At 40.2% G+C, this 15,758-nt stretch overlaps 1 protein-coding gene and 1 pseudogene across 17 annotated transcripts in view; one reads left to right on the top strand and one right to left on the bottom strand.

Moving 5' to 3' along the window:
• PALLD (palladin, cytoskeletal associated protein) overlaps positions 1 to 15,758 on the top strand; it is a 431,390-nt gene that overhangs the window by 180,029 nt on the left and 235,603 nt on the right. For all 17 annotated transcript variants that reach the window (XM_011531768.3, XM_011531769.3, XM_011531771.3 and 14 more), the window contains 5 exons: positions 4,252 to 4,318; positions 5,918 to 6,023; positions 8,405 to 8,479; positions 13,523 to 13,664; positions 14,189 to 14,212. In XM_011531768.3, coding sequence (XP_011530070.1) covers positions 4,252 to 4,318; positions 5,918 to 6,023; positions 8,405 to 8,479; positions 13,523 to 13,664; positions 14,189 to 14,212 — 414 coding nt within the window. The remainder of the gene's footprint in view (positions 1 to 4,251; positions 4,319 to 5,917; positions 6,024 to 8,404; positions 8,480 to 13,522; positions 13,665 to 14,188; positions 14,213 to 15,758) is intronic.
• Positions 9,528 to 9,636, bottom strand: RNU6-1336P (RNA, U6 small nuclear 1336, pseudogene; annotated as a pseudogene).

Consider the following 15,758-nt stretch of genomic DNA (forward strand, 5'->3'; position numbering starts at 1 on the left):
ACATGTAACTCTTTCAGACTGGAGCCTACATCCAAAACTGAAAGTGACGGTTAATAAATATGGAGAAAGACGTTAACCTGAGACTCCGTAGTGTTGTTTTTTTTTTTTTCTCCTGACCAGCAGGTGCAAAGCAGATGACTGAAGTGGGAACAGAGTGGGAGAGGGCGGGAGAATCGCCCTGAGGGGAAGGCAGGGAACTGGCTGGCACAGAGAGGGAGATTTGATCTGCCCCCGTCTCCAAGAGCTGCTCTGACACCTGAGATGTAAGGTGACTTTCAGATTTCACAAGGGTTGGACAGGTGTGCAAAAGCTAGCAAATGTGTGTTTATTCAGGGGGCCCCAGCCTTTTTGGCCCCTTTTTCCTTTGAAAATCAGCTGGAAAAAAGTAGCAAGAATGGCTTTCTAAAGAGAGGTCATCAGAAGGAATTTTTTGTTTTTTAATGATTGAAACATTTTGAATCAGGTGAAAAGTAACTGTTTTCTCTCCCCAATTTTTCGCTACCTTGAGAGTGTGTGTGATAACTTCCATATGGTTTTTGCCACCCCTCCCCTTCTCCTAAATGCTTTTATGATTCCAGTAAAATGGTCTCCCGGGTCACCCCCGACCTTCTGATCGCCTTCACTGGCTTTTCCTCAGGGTTTCTCAGCTCCCTGCATCTCCTCATCACAGAGAAAACTTCTCCTGGCCCATAACTTGTTTTTGATGGTTTGTTGTTTGCCCCGTTTGTGTCCCTACTCCGCCAGTTAATCCTGCACACTGACTTTTCCAGCCCCCACTCTCGGTGCCTACACGACCAGGTTCAAACAAGTCAGCCCCAGCGTCCCAGTCCTGCCTGTGTTTCGAGATTTGCCTCCCGTTACTGCCCCCAGCCTGCTGCTCCTCTCTCCTTGCACGATCTGCGCCTCGTCCCCAGACAAGCTTTACCACTTCCCAGTTCTCTTTCTTCATTCCAGCAGAAGCCTGGAAGGTGTGTATGAGGAAGGCATGAAGCTAGGCCCTCTGAGGAACTCACACGCGCGCACCTCATGAAGGCCACCTGGAGGTCACGTGGTGTGGGGGCAAGGTCACAGACCACGAGGCTCAACAACAACAGTGCTTTGCCTGTCACCACTGCTTTCTAGTTATGTGACCTTCAATTACTTCACCTCTTGGTTCCTTGGTGTCCTTGTCTATAAATTGGACATAATTCACTTCTTAGTGAGGTTCATTATGATGATGATTAAATGAGGTAAAGTGCCCAGCAGACGCCGGGCACATAGGACATATGCAAAAATTGGTAGTTCCCTTTCTAACCCAGCGTCCATCCTCAGGGAACTCATCATTTTCTAGCAGGCATGATATTCTAGGTGACGTGAGTGCTGTAAACAAGAACGCTGGGAGTTCAGAGAAAGAGCACAGAATAGTGCCTGGGCTGACCGTGGAAGATAGCGTATCAAGAAAAGATGGATAGGAGTTTCCTAAGGAGTGAAAACTATGACTAAGGTACAGGCATGGAAAACAAGCAGGGAGAGAGAGTCCCCACTTTCTCTGTGTCCTAGGGGAGGCTTCCTTGCCACCATCCTTAAAATTGCAGCCCCCCGGGAAGTCCCATCACAGCCCGTGCCCCTCCCCTGCTTGATGACTTTCCTGCTTCACTCACCACCGTATCATGTACTTATTTCTCTTCTGTGTCCTCACAAGATCAGAGGGGTATGTGTGTGTGTGTGTGTGGTGTACGTAGTGGATGTGGGTATGGTGTGTGGGGGGGTATGGTGTGCGTGTGTGGTGTGTGTGGTGTGTCGTGTGGGTGTGGCGTGTGTGTGGTGGTGTGGTGAGGTGTGTATGTGTGGTGTGTGTATGTGCAGTGGGTGTGGCAGGGTGTGTGTGGTGTGTGTGTGGGTGTGATGTGTGTGGTGTGGGTACGGTGTGTGCGTGGTGTGGGTATGTGTAGCATGGGTATAGTGTGTGGTGTGTGTGTGTGGTGTGGGTGTGTGTAGGTGCGTGTGTGGTGGGGTGAGTATGGATGTGTTTGGGGTGTTTATGGTGGGTGTGTGTGTGTGTGTGGTGGGGTGAGTATGGATGTGGTGTGTGGGGGGTGTGTGTGCATGGTGTGTGGTGGGGTGTGTGTGTGGTGGGGTGAGTATGGATGTGTGTGGGGTGTGTGTGTGTGGTGTGTGTGGGGTGTGTGTGTGGTGTGTGGTGGGGTGTGTGTGGTGGGGTGAGTATGGATGTGTGTGGGGGGTGTGTGTGTGGTGTGCGGTGGGGGGTATATGTGTGTGGTGGGTGTGTGGTGGGGTGAGTATGGATGTGTGTGGGTGTGTGTGTGTGTGTGGTGTGCTGTGGGGTGTGTGCGTGTGGTAGGGTATGGATGTGTGGGGTGTGTGTGTGGTGGGGTGAGTATGGACGTGTGTGGGGGGGTGTGGTGTGTGGTGGGGTGTGTGTGTTTGTGTGTGGTGGGGTATGTATGGATATGGTGTGTGGGGAGTGTGTGGTGGGGTGTGTGTGTGTGTCCTCTTCACTGCGTATCCCCCTTACTTATGGAGTGCACACCATTAGATGTGCAGGTGAACTCAGCTCTCTGACTTAAGGTTACATGACTTGGAAGTCCAAGAAGTTCTGGCAGATAGAGGTAGAAAATGAAGTTGGAAATCATGAGGGCCATTAAATGACAAATTTGGGGTTTTTTATTTTACTGAGTAGAGATTCTAATCATCTCATTTTTAACAGGGAAAGTGTGCTCTAGGAAAATCTAGCCGACACAGGGAGGGCAACGATGAATTTGAGAAGGAGGAGATGGGAAGACAAGAATGGATTGTGGTAGTCCAGGCCCCAGGCAAAGAAAGCCTACACTGGATGGTAGACACAGAAATAAATAGGAAGGGACAGCAAACATTCCAGCAGAGTTACCTAAACATGACTGTTTTCAATGTCAATAAAAGACTGGAAAACATATCACAGTAGAGTCACTGGAAGGAATACCAGGCAGCTATCCAAGAGAATGCAGTGAACGTATGTATTCTAAATCTACTGATAGGCAAAAGTAGCCAAATGCCAAGTGAACATGCCATGTGAATCCATTTGTATAAATATGTACATAAATGTAAATATGTTGATATGCTGTATTAAACTTATCCAGGCCATGTGCGGTGGCTCACGCCTGTAATCCCAGCACTTTGGGAGGCCGAGGTGGGCAGATCACTTGAGGTCAGGAGTTCGAGACCAGCCTGGCCAACATGGTGAAACCCCATCTCTGCTAAAAAAAAAAAAAAATACAAAAATTAGCAGGGCGAGGTGGCACATGCCTGTAATCCCAGCCACTCAGAAGGCAGGAGAATCACTTGAACCCAGGAGGCAGAGGTTGCAGTGAGCCAAGATTGCGCCACTGCACTCCAGCCTGGGTGACAGAGCAAGATTCCGTCTCAAAAAAAAAAAAAAAAAAAAAAAAAAAAACACTTATCTGGAACAATACACATCAGACTTAATGTGGTATTTGGGAATGGCATTTAGGAAGGTACCCACTGATCTTTACTATTAGGCTGCACAATTCTGTGCTATATGGTTATTTTCCTATAAGCATGTATTATTATATAAAAGAATATAAGTGACCCAAGTTAAATGTATCTTGGAAACATTAAGAATATACTTTGAACCATTGCAATTTTTTAAGTCTGTCACCTAAAATCTCTTGACATGAAATATGTAAACATCAAAATCTGACTGCAGTTTACCTTTTGACTAAAAATCTGGTAAGTTGACCCTTTATTTAAGAACAGTAATAATGCAAGTGAATTTGGGAAGGCATGATCCAAAATCAAAGGCCCTCTTATTCAAGAACAGAACCACTGTCATACTCAGTTTTACCCAGGAGCCAGAAAGCATCAGTCCTTACCCTGCAATCTCTGGAGAAGGTTACAGTTTAAAAGCGTGGGTATTCTTCACACAAACACACACACATCTTTATTTCATAGTTTATAGCCATTTAAAAGTACGGTTGTGATGACCACAGTGATAAAAATGAAATTAATAATAAATCTGTCATTAAAAGTATATTGCTTTGAAGAAAGCTATTTATAGTAGTACTTTTTAAAAATGAGTTTCTGAAGAAACAGTACAAATAAAAAATTGTCTGAGCCTGAATCACTCTATTTTATTGTGTGTTTCGGTCAAAAAGACTTTGTATGTTATTTTATTTAAGGGAAATATAATTCTTTGCAATTATTATAGATAACACTGATATCTTAACTTTACCATTATCTTTAATACTTTCCCAGGTGCCAGTTCAACAGATTCTGACAGTGAAAGTTTAGCTTTCAAATCAAGAGCTGGAGCTATGCCACAGTAAGTGCCTACAATTCCATCGATTATGTGGAAACAAAGAATGGCAACAGAATGGTTGGGGTATGAAACCATGTTTGCTGTGCTTTGAAGAAAAAAGTCAACTGATGTTAATCAGAGATCAAATACTGAGGTTGGAACACAATTTTTTTTTTTTTTTTTTTTTTTGAGACAGGGTCTCACTCTGTCACCCAGGTTGAAGTACGGTGGTGCGACATGGCTCACTGAAGCCTTGACCTCCCAGGCTCAAGTGGTCCTCCTACTTTAGCCTCCCAAGTAGCTGGGATTATAGGCATACACCACCACACCTGGCTAATCTTTTTTTATTTTTTGGTAGAGATGGGGTCTCACTGTGTTGTCCAGGCTCATCTGGAACTCTTGGACTCAAGCGATCCTCCTGCCTCAGCTTCCCAAATTGTTGGGAGGGATTATAGGCATGAGCCAACATGTCCAGCCCGAACACAATTTTTAACTTGTAAATTTGAACTTTGAAGTCTGCATTTCATCATTGATATGCCAGAATTTTACCATATGCAATGTTAGTTTCAAAGACAGCCATCTAATTTATTATAAATGTATGGAAAGAGAAGTCACATTAAGAGAAAATCAATTAAATCATTACTAAAATGTGAGGACCAATTTATTTATGCAAGTTGGAAAATATCTAATTAGGCCAGAAGTAGGTTCTCCTTTGGATACGATCTATATTTATTTAGATCTTGTACCCGAAATTCACAAAACTTAGTTATTCCTACAAAGACATACCAATTATTAAAATGTTAATATCTTAATTATTTGGCAAAAATAAAATCTACCAGAAATTCCTATTATGGAAAAGTCCATAAATATTGAGTCTGTTCTAATAAATTTCTTTTATCTGCTAGTATGTACATAAAAATTATATCCATTCAGCATCAAATAATCAGTGATGCTTAAAGGATCTTCTAAGGTTATTTTACCACCCCTGGTTTTTATAAGGAGCTCAAGTTTAGTGAAGTTACATGGCTTGCTTCAGATTTCACAGCCAGCTACTTGACAAAGCTGGGCCTAGAAATCAACTCTTCTTAATCTTCTCTAAATATCTCACTAACTTATATGCACTAAGAAAACACAAAAATTCCAAGATACCGACAACAAAATTAGAAACCAGAAAAAAGAACAGCTGTTAGACTTAAAATAGACAACCAAAACTTTGAGTTAAATATAGGACCCTAACCCTAAACATTTCAAATCTCTGCTTATCAATAAAGATTGGATTTTTTCCAAATATTTTCTCTTAGGATTTTCAAGTTTAATACGTTAGCATCTTCAACAGCGTCTCAGTTACATCTAGCTACTTTTCTTTTACTCATGTTTTGATTTTGCTTAATGTCTATAAGGTACATTCTATAAGGTACATGTATATACTGACCACAGCTATTCTAGCTGTAGGTTATGCATTCCCATTGTGGAAGCAATTACAGTTGAAGCGGATTGCGTATACAAAAAGAAACCCAGCTTTTCTGTTGAAACGTTTCAAGGAATTATTTCTGCTAAAAAAAAAAAACAAAAAAACGAAAACAAAAAATATTCTGACTAAACACTCACCTTCCTATTTTCCAGAGCTCAAAAGAAAACAACTTCTGTTTCCTTGACAATAGGATCATCATCTCCAAAGACAGGGGTGACCACAGCTGTGATTCAACCACTGTCTGTCCCTGTGCAACAGGTAAGTATGCTTTGAGCCAGAGCCCATAAGGGGTCGAACTCATCAGCAAACTTGTGGATTTTAAGAATATGACTTTGATTCTAACTAGTATACTCCCTTGAAATATTTTCTAAGTGGACACAAAATTCAGAGCAAAGAAAATTGTAGGTAATGTTTCTCCTTTCAGTTCACTAAAAACAACCTTTAACCAAAACCACACTGCCAATTAGTCAACATTTGCATTTCCATTGGGAACTTCTTTCTCTAACAGCTAATAATCTGATAAACTGGTGTCTGTTTTAGCTGTAACTATTTGATTATTCCCTCACATGTGTATGCTCTTTCATATAGCCAAATTTATTAGCTCATTACAAATTAAAAGACAAGTCTGCATACCAACAAAAAGCTTTCCCACTCCTAAAAGCTAAACAAATAAGAAAAAACAACTCAAATTCCTTGACTTCACCATGCTTTTTGATCTTGCTTTTATTTTATTGTAAGACTGCTATAGCCATGAAAGAACAATAATATAAACTACTGGAAAGTAGTTGTAATGAATTTACTTTGCAAACACAAACAATATGAACTTCTTTTAAAAAAAAAAGTAGAAAACCATTACATCTGGATGTCTCTAAATCATGGTTTAATGAATATGTTCAAAGACAACACTCACAGAAAGGTTTTCCCCCACAGTCTGGAAATGTAAACTCATTCCTAAGTAATGAGTATGTCTTATAAGTATCACCATGTCCTCCCTCAGCCTTTATTACCTATTGAATGCTCAGGGGTGTTTCAGCCACTATAGAGGCCAATAGGTGCTATCGATATGTGGAAAATACAAACAGTAGAGAGAAGACATTTGGGTCCATAAACTTGAATCAACAAGTATCAGTTACTCAGAGATGGCATATATAGTACATATTTCCTTTAAACCCCTTAATCAGAGTGGAATTTATAGAAATATTTGATTAAATCAGTGGGCATTTTTTGGTATTTGATGTTTAAATATTGATAAATATTTATTGAGTGCTTAGTACGGTGCTAGGCATTTCATGACAGGAAAAAATGTCACCCACCCCATTCCCAAATGGGGTGAATGTGACAGAATGTATTTAGATGTAAGACAGAAGCCTAGGAAATAGAGAGATACACACACATCTAGATATGTAAATACCATAATAATGTAAAGAGTGAATTTTTAAATGGATTAAATTCTACAAAGACATGGAATGGAAGGTAATTTACCCCATGTTTATAGTTGGGAGAATGAAGCACCCAGAGAAACTCCATCGCTTTATTATTGCAGGCAATGTGACATCAAGTAATGCTCTGGAACCAGACTCCCTGGGTTTGAATCCCAGTTCTATCACTTCCTAACGGAGGGACCTTAAGCAAATAAAATGTAACCCTTCAAGCCGAGTTTCTTCATCTGTAAAATGAAGATGATAACACTATGTATCTCATAAGTTTGTCCTGAAGATCCAGTGAGTTAATCTTCATATGACACTTGGAACAGTCCCTGGCATAGAGTAAATATTAATACTATAAGAGTGTTCACATATTCTTGGGACATAAAAAGACAGTGAAAAGTGAAACCCAGACCTCTTGAATCACAGGCCAGTAAAGTCTTCCAGGGTTAATGAATAAACTCCATTAGCATCCTAGCATCTCTACCGCTCTGCCACAATTCTTCATGATGTCCTGTGGCATATTTAGACACACGATACCAGATCACCATCATCTTGGGTTAAGAAGCTAACAACCACTTACATAAGTGAATAAATCCAGATCATTTAAAAATAAGTGATAGTACACAAAGAAATATTTTCCATTCACTACTCTGAAATCCTTATATTTCTCCAGAGATGAATGTCATTGAATAGGTATTTTAGCACGTTTCTTTTTTGCACGTCAATAAAAAAAAATTCTTTTCTCTCCTTTCCCATAATCCCTATATCAAAAAAGAGTACAAGTTAAATAAGATAGGTAGATGTTTGATAATTTACCCTCCAGTGCCAATAGCCAATGGCTTTTATGCATTGAATCCAAACTGTATTTAAAAATAAAATACATTGTCTACGAGAACTTTAAAAAAGACGCATGTGGAAGTCCCACACACAGAAATCCATTTGGTAATAGCATTTAAAAGCTCGTGGATCCCCAAGGACCCAGGGAACTTTTACCTTGAATATCCTTTTGAACAGAGAAGAGTAACAGATGTGAAATGAGGAAGTGGAACAATGTCTGTACTGTAAGAGCAGACGAGCAAAATGATGTATGGTGGTACTTTCATTCACTCATTTCCTTCAAGTGGGTGATCCCCATAATGAAAGGTTTCTTCAGCCCATCTTTTAGGCAATTTATATATTTAGAATTTGATCCATATGTCTCTGCTTTTGCAGGTTCACAGTCCAACTTCATATCTCTGCCGACCTGATGGAACCACTACTGCCTACTTTCCTCCTGTTTTTACAAAGGTCTGACATCTGGAAGTCTCATTCTCTGTGTTTGCTTTGGTCCTTAAATTTCATTTACATGTGGCTTCGTGTAGCAATCTTTAAAAATTAAAAGGAACAGATTAGTAGGCTGATTACCATGGTTACCTTTGGGACTAAATAGATATTTGTTGAACGACTGCCGTGTGACTGTAATCTTGTGATGGGTTCTGAGAGATGTGAGCAGGAACTTGATAGAGCCTAAAATCTAGTGGGAAAGCCAAGACAGATAGAAAAAAAAAAAAAAAAAAAAAAAAACCTGCTGTGTAGGAAATTGCTTAGGAGATCTAGCAAGTTTTATAGAAATTCAGAAAAACTGACTAATTTTCCATTTGTCCTGAGTCCGGAATTTGCATTGCCAGGCTGAATGACATCCATTTCATTGGTCAGCCTCTCAAGTCAGAAATGCTTCCATATAGCATTTCTTCTCTTTCTTTTTCCTTTTTCCTTCCTTTTTTTTAGAGAAAATTATAAAACTTTATTAAAAGACATTTTAAAAGGCCCAAATAAATGGAGACATATGACATGCTTGCAGACTAATAGACCGTATAAAGCCATGACTCCCTGATTAATCTGTATTTAATGTAATCTGGCTAAAATTCTAGCAGCTTCCTGGGTTTTTTTGTTTTGGTTTGGTTTGTTTTTTTTACTTTAAATTCTGGGATACACGTGCAGAATGTGCTGGTTTGTTATGTAGGTATACACGTGCCATGGTGGTTTGCTGCACCTATCAACCCGTCATCTAGGTTTTAAGCCCTGCATGCATTAGGTATTTGTCCTAATGCTATCCCTCCCCTTGTCCCCCACCTCCCGACAGGCCCCAGGTGTGTGATGTTCCCCTCCCGGTGTCCATGTGTTCTCATTGTTCAACTCCCACTTATAAGTAAGAACATTCAGTGTTTGGTTTTCTGTTCCTGTGTTAGTTTGCTGAGAATGATGGTTTCCAGCTTCATCCATGTCCCTGCAAAGGACATGAATTCATTCTTTTTTATGCCTGCATAGTATTCCATAGTGTATATGAGCCACATTTAAAAATATGGAACGCTTCACGAATTTGCATGTCATCCTTGTGCAGAGGTCATGCTAATCTTCTCTGTATCATCTCGATCTTAGTATATATGAGCTGCCAAAGCAAGCACAGGTTCCTGGTTTTTAATTGTTTGTTTGATATGGAATTTAGCAACCTGATTCAAAAAGTTGTGTGGAGGAAAAAAGTGGCTAAGAATAGCCAGGATACACCTGAGGAAGGAAAATAAGGTAGTGTTAGGAAGGAGTGGGATTTGTCCTATAAGATAGCAAGACGTTTTAAAGGTATAGTAATTAGGACAGTATGGTACTGGTACAAGGCTAGAGAAATTGATGTGTAATCGGAGTAGAGCCCACAAAGTTTCTGAATACCTACAGAAACTTGCAAATTGCTGGAGAAAGAATGAATTCTTCAGCAGAGGTGAAAAAGTATCCAGTTGGACTCCTACCTCATACTTTTCACGACAAACAATTCCTAGTAAACTAAAGACAAATGTGAAAGCAAATCTATAAAACTTTTGTGAGGCAGTAAAGAAAAGCATTTTTGTAATCTCCATAGAAGGAGTGATTTTTTTTCCCTTCAGCTGGTTGAATCCAAGCTTTATAAAATATCTTTTCATAAGCAGTTATAGTATTTCCAGTTGGGCACAGGCAACAAATGATAACAGGTGGTAACAACTTGGAAACTACCCTCCTAGCTAGACTACTAAAAAAGAAGTTATGTAAAACCCTGCCTAAAACCATGTCAATCTGATAACCAATGAAGTCTTCCTTTGATGTTTAGAACAGAAAATGTTTACAGAGGGGTGGACACTCCACATTTAGGATGTAGTTTAAGAGTTTTGCACAAGCAGCTTCCCAAGGTCATCACCAGAAAGGGTGTGTTGTCCAATGTATTGGTATCCAAGACACAGTTGATTTGGGGGTGCCAGGGCCCAACACGCCTCTTGGTTTAAACAAATAAAGTCCATGCTGGTGGCACAAGGGAAGGAAAAGAGGAAGCAAAGATTTGCTTTCTTTCACTACCGGGCTTTCCTGCATGGGTCTGGCATGTGTAGATATTATGGAATTCCTCCTGGGCACCAAGAGGAACTCTCAAATACTAAGTACAAAATCCTGTTTCCTCCCTTGCAATCCAGCTCCCGCAACATAGACTTTCTATTAGTGGTCTTTCCCCCTTCCCCAAAAGATAACCATGAAGCATTCTTTGTGCTAACAGCACAGCTTTAAAGAGAAGTAAACCAAAACTCTGTTCTTTATATAGGTTGATTTTTAAGAACTCTCAAACTGTCAATTCACTGGAAGCTCAGAGCCACTGAAAGCTCAGAGCCACTAGAAGCTCAGAGCCACTGGAAGCTCAGAGCCACTTCTCCAGCCTTCCACTTTCTGTGTCTGGACCATGGAACATCTCTCTTCTGCAGGGCTGTTCCCTTCCTTGATGCATCTGCTTTTCCCTTTCTCACTTTAGGCAGCTTCTGTCTCTGATTTGCAGGGTCCTTCTTAGGCCTGGTCTCTGGTTTTGGAGGGGTAGGTTTAGAAAATAATCCTGCTGATCTCCTCTGTAACTCAAACTAGCCTTTACTTTGTCACTCATAGCACCTTCACTGGGCTTTCTCTTAGGCATGATGATGACAGTGAATGGCAGGTGGGCTGGCTTTCATAGTCCAAGGGTTACCTCCATCTGTTTTCTCATGCTACTCTGGAAGAGATTCCTAGGTCTCACAGCTGGTCAGAGGCAGAGCCAGTGCTCCTGCCTGCAGGCCACCTGGCAGACTGGTGGACCACAGGACTGTGGGTAGCATGGACGTACATGTGACATTTCTTCCCAAATAGACCCCTCCAAAGAATCACAATGTCAGGTGGACTTGATGGTATGGCCAGAGGGGTCCTTGTAAGGATCCTGAAACCCCCAGGGCCCCCAGATCCTACACAAAGTAGATGATCCAGGTTGCCAGGTGCATCCTGTAAAGGTTGACTTTCAGTCTCCTTTGGGGCTCCTTGTTATGTTCCCGAAGGTTCTCCTAATGGCTTACTATGTTTAGCCATGGCTTTTGCCAAGATAAAAATGTTAGCTCCAGGAGGATCCAAATGGCAATCCTGGAATAACTGTGGAGCTTTGACTGATTAAGTTACTTGGCATCTACCCATTTCCTACATCTTTGACTTTCCGACACTGAAAAAAAAAAATGCATAATCTTAGGAATAAATCAAAGTCTCTTTTGGTGCCTCAAAGCTGAAGCATGAAAAATATTTTGGTGCCATTTGTAGTCTATCCTGAACAGCTTCCTGGACAAGCCTAGAGACATTTAATAGGTTAATCCGTAGAAGCTGGACCCCATAAGTGACACTTACCCTGTTTTGATCTAATAAATTAGCTATTCTATGGACCCAGTCACAAAGGAAGAAAAATATGATTTAAAACCAGAGATTTTCTCCATTTAAAAATACGGAAGAAGAAAGAACGCAATCAGAAATAGTTGATCATCTAAACCTTGTCACTTAAAGACATTCTAGTTAACTACCAAAATGTCTATCAAATGTCTTCTCAGACTTCACATTAGACTTTTATAGTTCTTCTGCCAATGTCATAGGTTTTAGAATTCCCTCAGGGTTTTAGCACACTTACTGCAGGACATTGGTTACAGAATTGGTTTTTTCCAGGACATCATTTATTGTCCCATCAGATAATTTAAACACACATGCATACAAACAAACAAAACAATTCACACTTCCTAATGAATGTGAATTTGTTTGCTTTTGGTGTATATATGGATAAATTATGTTTGAGTTATTTTGAGAGTCCTACACCTTACATTCGATCCAATATTCTTTTTTTTTTTTTTTTTTTTTTTTTTTTTTTTTGAGATGGAGTCTTGCTCTGTCACCCAGGCTGAAGTGCAATGGTGTGATCTTGGCTCACTGCAACCTCTGCCTCCTGAGTTCAAGTGATTTTCCTGTTCCAGCCTCCTCGGTAGCTGGGATTACAGGTGTCTGCCACCACGACCGGCTAATTTTTGTATTTTTAGTAGAGACAGGATTTCGCCATGTTGGTCAGGCTGGTCTCGAACTGCTGACCCTAGGCGACCCACCCACCTTGGCCTCCCAAAGAGCTGGAATTACAGATGTGAGCCACCACACCTGGCCTAGATCCAATATTCTATAGTCAGAAGTTTAAATAGTAAGAAAGTTTAAAAGGCCCTATTGCTAGTTAATTCTGGAGAAGGAGGGTAGAGAGAAGATATATGTGAGGGAAATATTAATGTCCTGATATTTAAGAACAAGTATAAAAGCTTTACTTCTTTGTATCTATAAAACCAAATTAATTTCTGATCTGTTGGATTGTAAAGATTTATTGGTCTGGAGTTGGAGTGCGGTGAGGGACAACAAAGGCAGGAGCAAAGAAGGAGGAAATGAAGGTCAATAAGGAAGAAGTACAGCATGTTTCATTACTTTACTCAGAATCTCAAAATGAGAAAATGTAGAAACCCCTTAGCTTAATAAACTTGACATAGGAAACTAGTCAGGCAGAGGTGGTACATGAAAAGGCTGAGGCATGTGAAAACAAATGCATGTCTTTTTTCTCTTCTTGTCTGGTTTTCATAAGAATCTACTTTTATTTAGAGTGTGGTCGTTTCAAGAAATTCACATTCCACCTGCTTCCTTTTAAATGTAGATAAAGAAAGTTAACATTGGTTACCATCAAATTCCATAAATGCAGAGCAGTCAGTGCAAATTTGCAGACAGGCCAGAAAGCTCTACAGGACTTATGGTACACTTTACTCATTTTATGACTTGGAGAGGGTGAAAAGCTGATAATCGGTGGGTCCAAAGGTGTTTATCCTTACCTGAGTCAGTGCTAATTATTTGATGATGCAAGTTTTGCATTTTGTGTTTGTATCTGTTTTGTCTGAGGTTTGGAATTTTTATTCTGTGTTGTGAAATTGCTTAAAAATGCACCAAAGTCTGATGGGGTTTTCCTTGAATTTCCTTGAATTTCAGGAACTGCAAAACACAGCCGTGGCGGAAGGCCAGGTGGTGGTTCTGGAGTGCCGGGTCCGTGGGGCACCCCCTCTGCAGGTCCAGTGGTTTCGGCAAGGGAGTGAAATCCAAGACTCTCCAGATTTCCGAATTCTACAGAAAAGTAAGGAGAAGTGCCCATGTCCCCAAATCTGACCATTTTATTCTCTCCAGCTTCAAGAAAACCAAGAAGGGCTAAGTCATTAAGATGAATTGATCTCTATGTTCAAAGAGTGGCAGGATCAGATAATCTACAGTGTGTTGAAATCCAGTAAATGGAAACTATGACCCCCTTGACACTCTAATGAAAGTCATATATTCTTTCGTCTTAAAAAATGCATATATACATTTGTACTCAAATTTGCATGAATAATTTTAGGAGGTTTACCAGGCTCCTAGAGCCCATCTATGAACTGCAGTTGGAAAAATTTCTTAGTGTAAGTTGATACAGGAATTTGAGTTTTTATATTTATAGAAATATAAACCGATCTATCACTTTATATCTTTTGTATGATGGAGTTTGACTGTAACATTTCTTCAGACATGTCCTAGACAAGGTAATGGAAAGGAACAAGTAGGTTTTTTTTAATTAAATGGAACCCCATTCTAATACTTTGTTCTAATTTATTTTTTTCATGTGGCAAACAGAACCTAGATCTACAGCTGAACCTGGTAAGAATATTTTTAGGGTTTTTTTTTTTGGTGGTGGGGGAGCAGATAATGTATCTTTTGGGTCTCAATAGTTCTTTCTTTCTACCTTAAAGCCGTAAGCAGAACAATGTTTTTGTGGCTCCCTGGAAATGTGAAACCCCCTTAAAAACAATATCTTCTTTATCATGGAGTCTGTACACTGCATTTTACATCAACGTCTTTATTAGCAAAACATTAAGTTCCATTCAGACAAGAAGGTCAAGCTCAGTGACTTCATGCTTTTTAAAATACAGTCTTTTAGGCTCAGAAAGCAAACTAAGCTGATGATGAAAAAACATCCTCCTAAAATTCCAGTAGAGAAGGACAATCTACTGCCTATTTGTACTGATCAGAACCCACTAACAACCCCAGCTTAGAAATGTGTCTCAAATGAGAGCAGCTCAAAGAGGTAAGCAAAATGGACCCCCAGGTGTTTCTCATTTGTGTGCCCTGAGCCATAAACTTTTACTATTCTGCAAGCATGAAGAAAGTCATCTTGCCCCCAGATCACTCTTAATTATCAGGTCGTTTGACCAGATCACAGTGCTATGTGATCCAGGAGCCTCGGGCCTAGCTGTTCCCTGCCTCAGACATATTGCGTATTTATGGTTCCTCGTGGAGTGAAATAGTGTTTGTAAAGGAAACAAATTTTTGTCTAGGTACTTCATCGTATGTCCTCCTCAAGACTATTTTCTTTTGTATTTTTCCCATCAGCAGGGTCACAATTTCACTTATTTCTGAACAAAGGGTAGAAAAACAAGTCATTTTCCTGTTTCTCCTGTTTGTTCCTCTGCTTCAGTGTCAAGCAGATCTTGCCACATGTGTCTTAGGAGCCATGACCTTGCTCTGACTCTTCTTGGGGGAACTGGAAAGTCCTCTGTGGGCCACTGCAGGTCAGATTACTGCAGTCAGTCCCTGAACTTCTCACATCTGTGTACTGGATCTTTAAAAGCAGAGTTTGACCCTATTAGGATCCAACGTTTAAGGGAGGCTGAGTAGCATCCTTAGGGAACAACTGGAATTGATCTGCTGCCCTCCTGTCATGAATTATAAGCAGAGCAAGTCCCCCCACTTAATGTGTCAGTCATCACATCAAATACTGTAGTCACTTTCCAGACTGTGGAAATATACAACTGCATATTTTGTCTGTGAAATGTCATTGAATAAAATTGCATAATGCTACTTTTCTAATACATGGATTTTCTGAGATTAAATCTGCTGCATGAGCTAATATGGGAATCCTGTAGGGAGTTAGGGCACATCTTGTGCATTTGCTATTTTAAACAACTTTAGATAGGTAGATATAAAAGTAGGAACCAAATATCTTTTATCTACAAGAAATAGCTTTTTATGTGAAACAAACCTATAAAGCAATTTATGTCTTTTAATGCTTTGTGTATAAATAAGGCTAAAATTTTGAGCCAAAAATTGTAAAAATGTTACTGCTAGCATGAAATAAGGCAGCTTTTGACATTGCGTTTTGGATTCGGAGTGAACTCCTGCAACTCTCTTTTCATCGTGTTGTTAT

The sequence above is a fragment of the Homo sapiens genome, chromosome 4 (assembly GCF_000001405.40).
Source record: "Homo sapiens chromosome 4, GRCh38.p14 Primary Assembly".
NCBI lineage: Eukaryota > Metazoa > Chordata > Mammalia > Primates > Hominidae > Homo > Homo sapiens.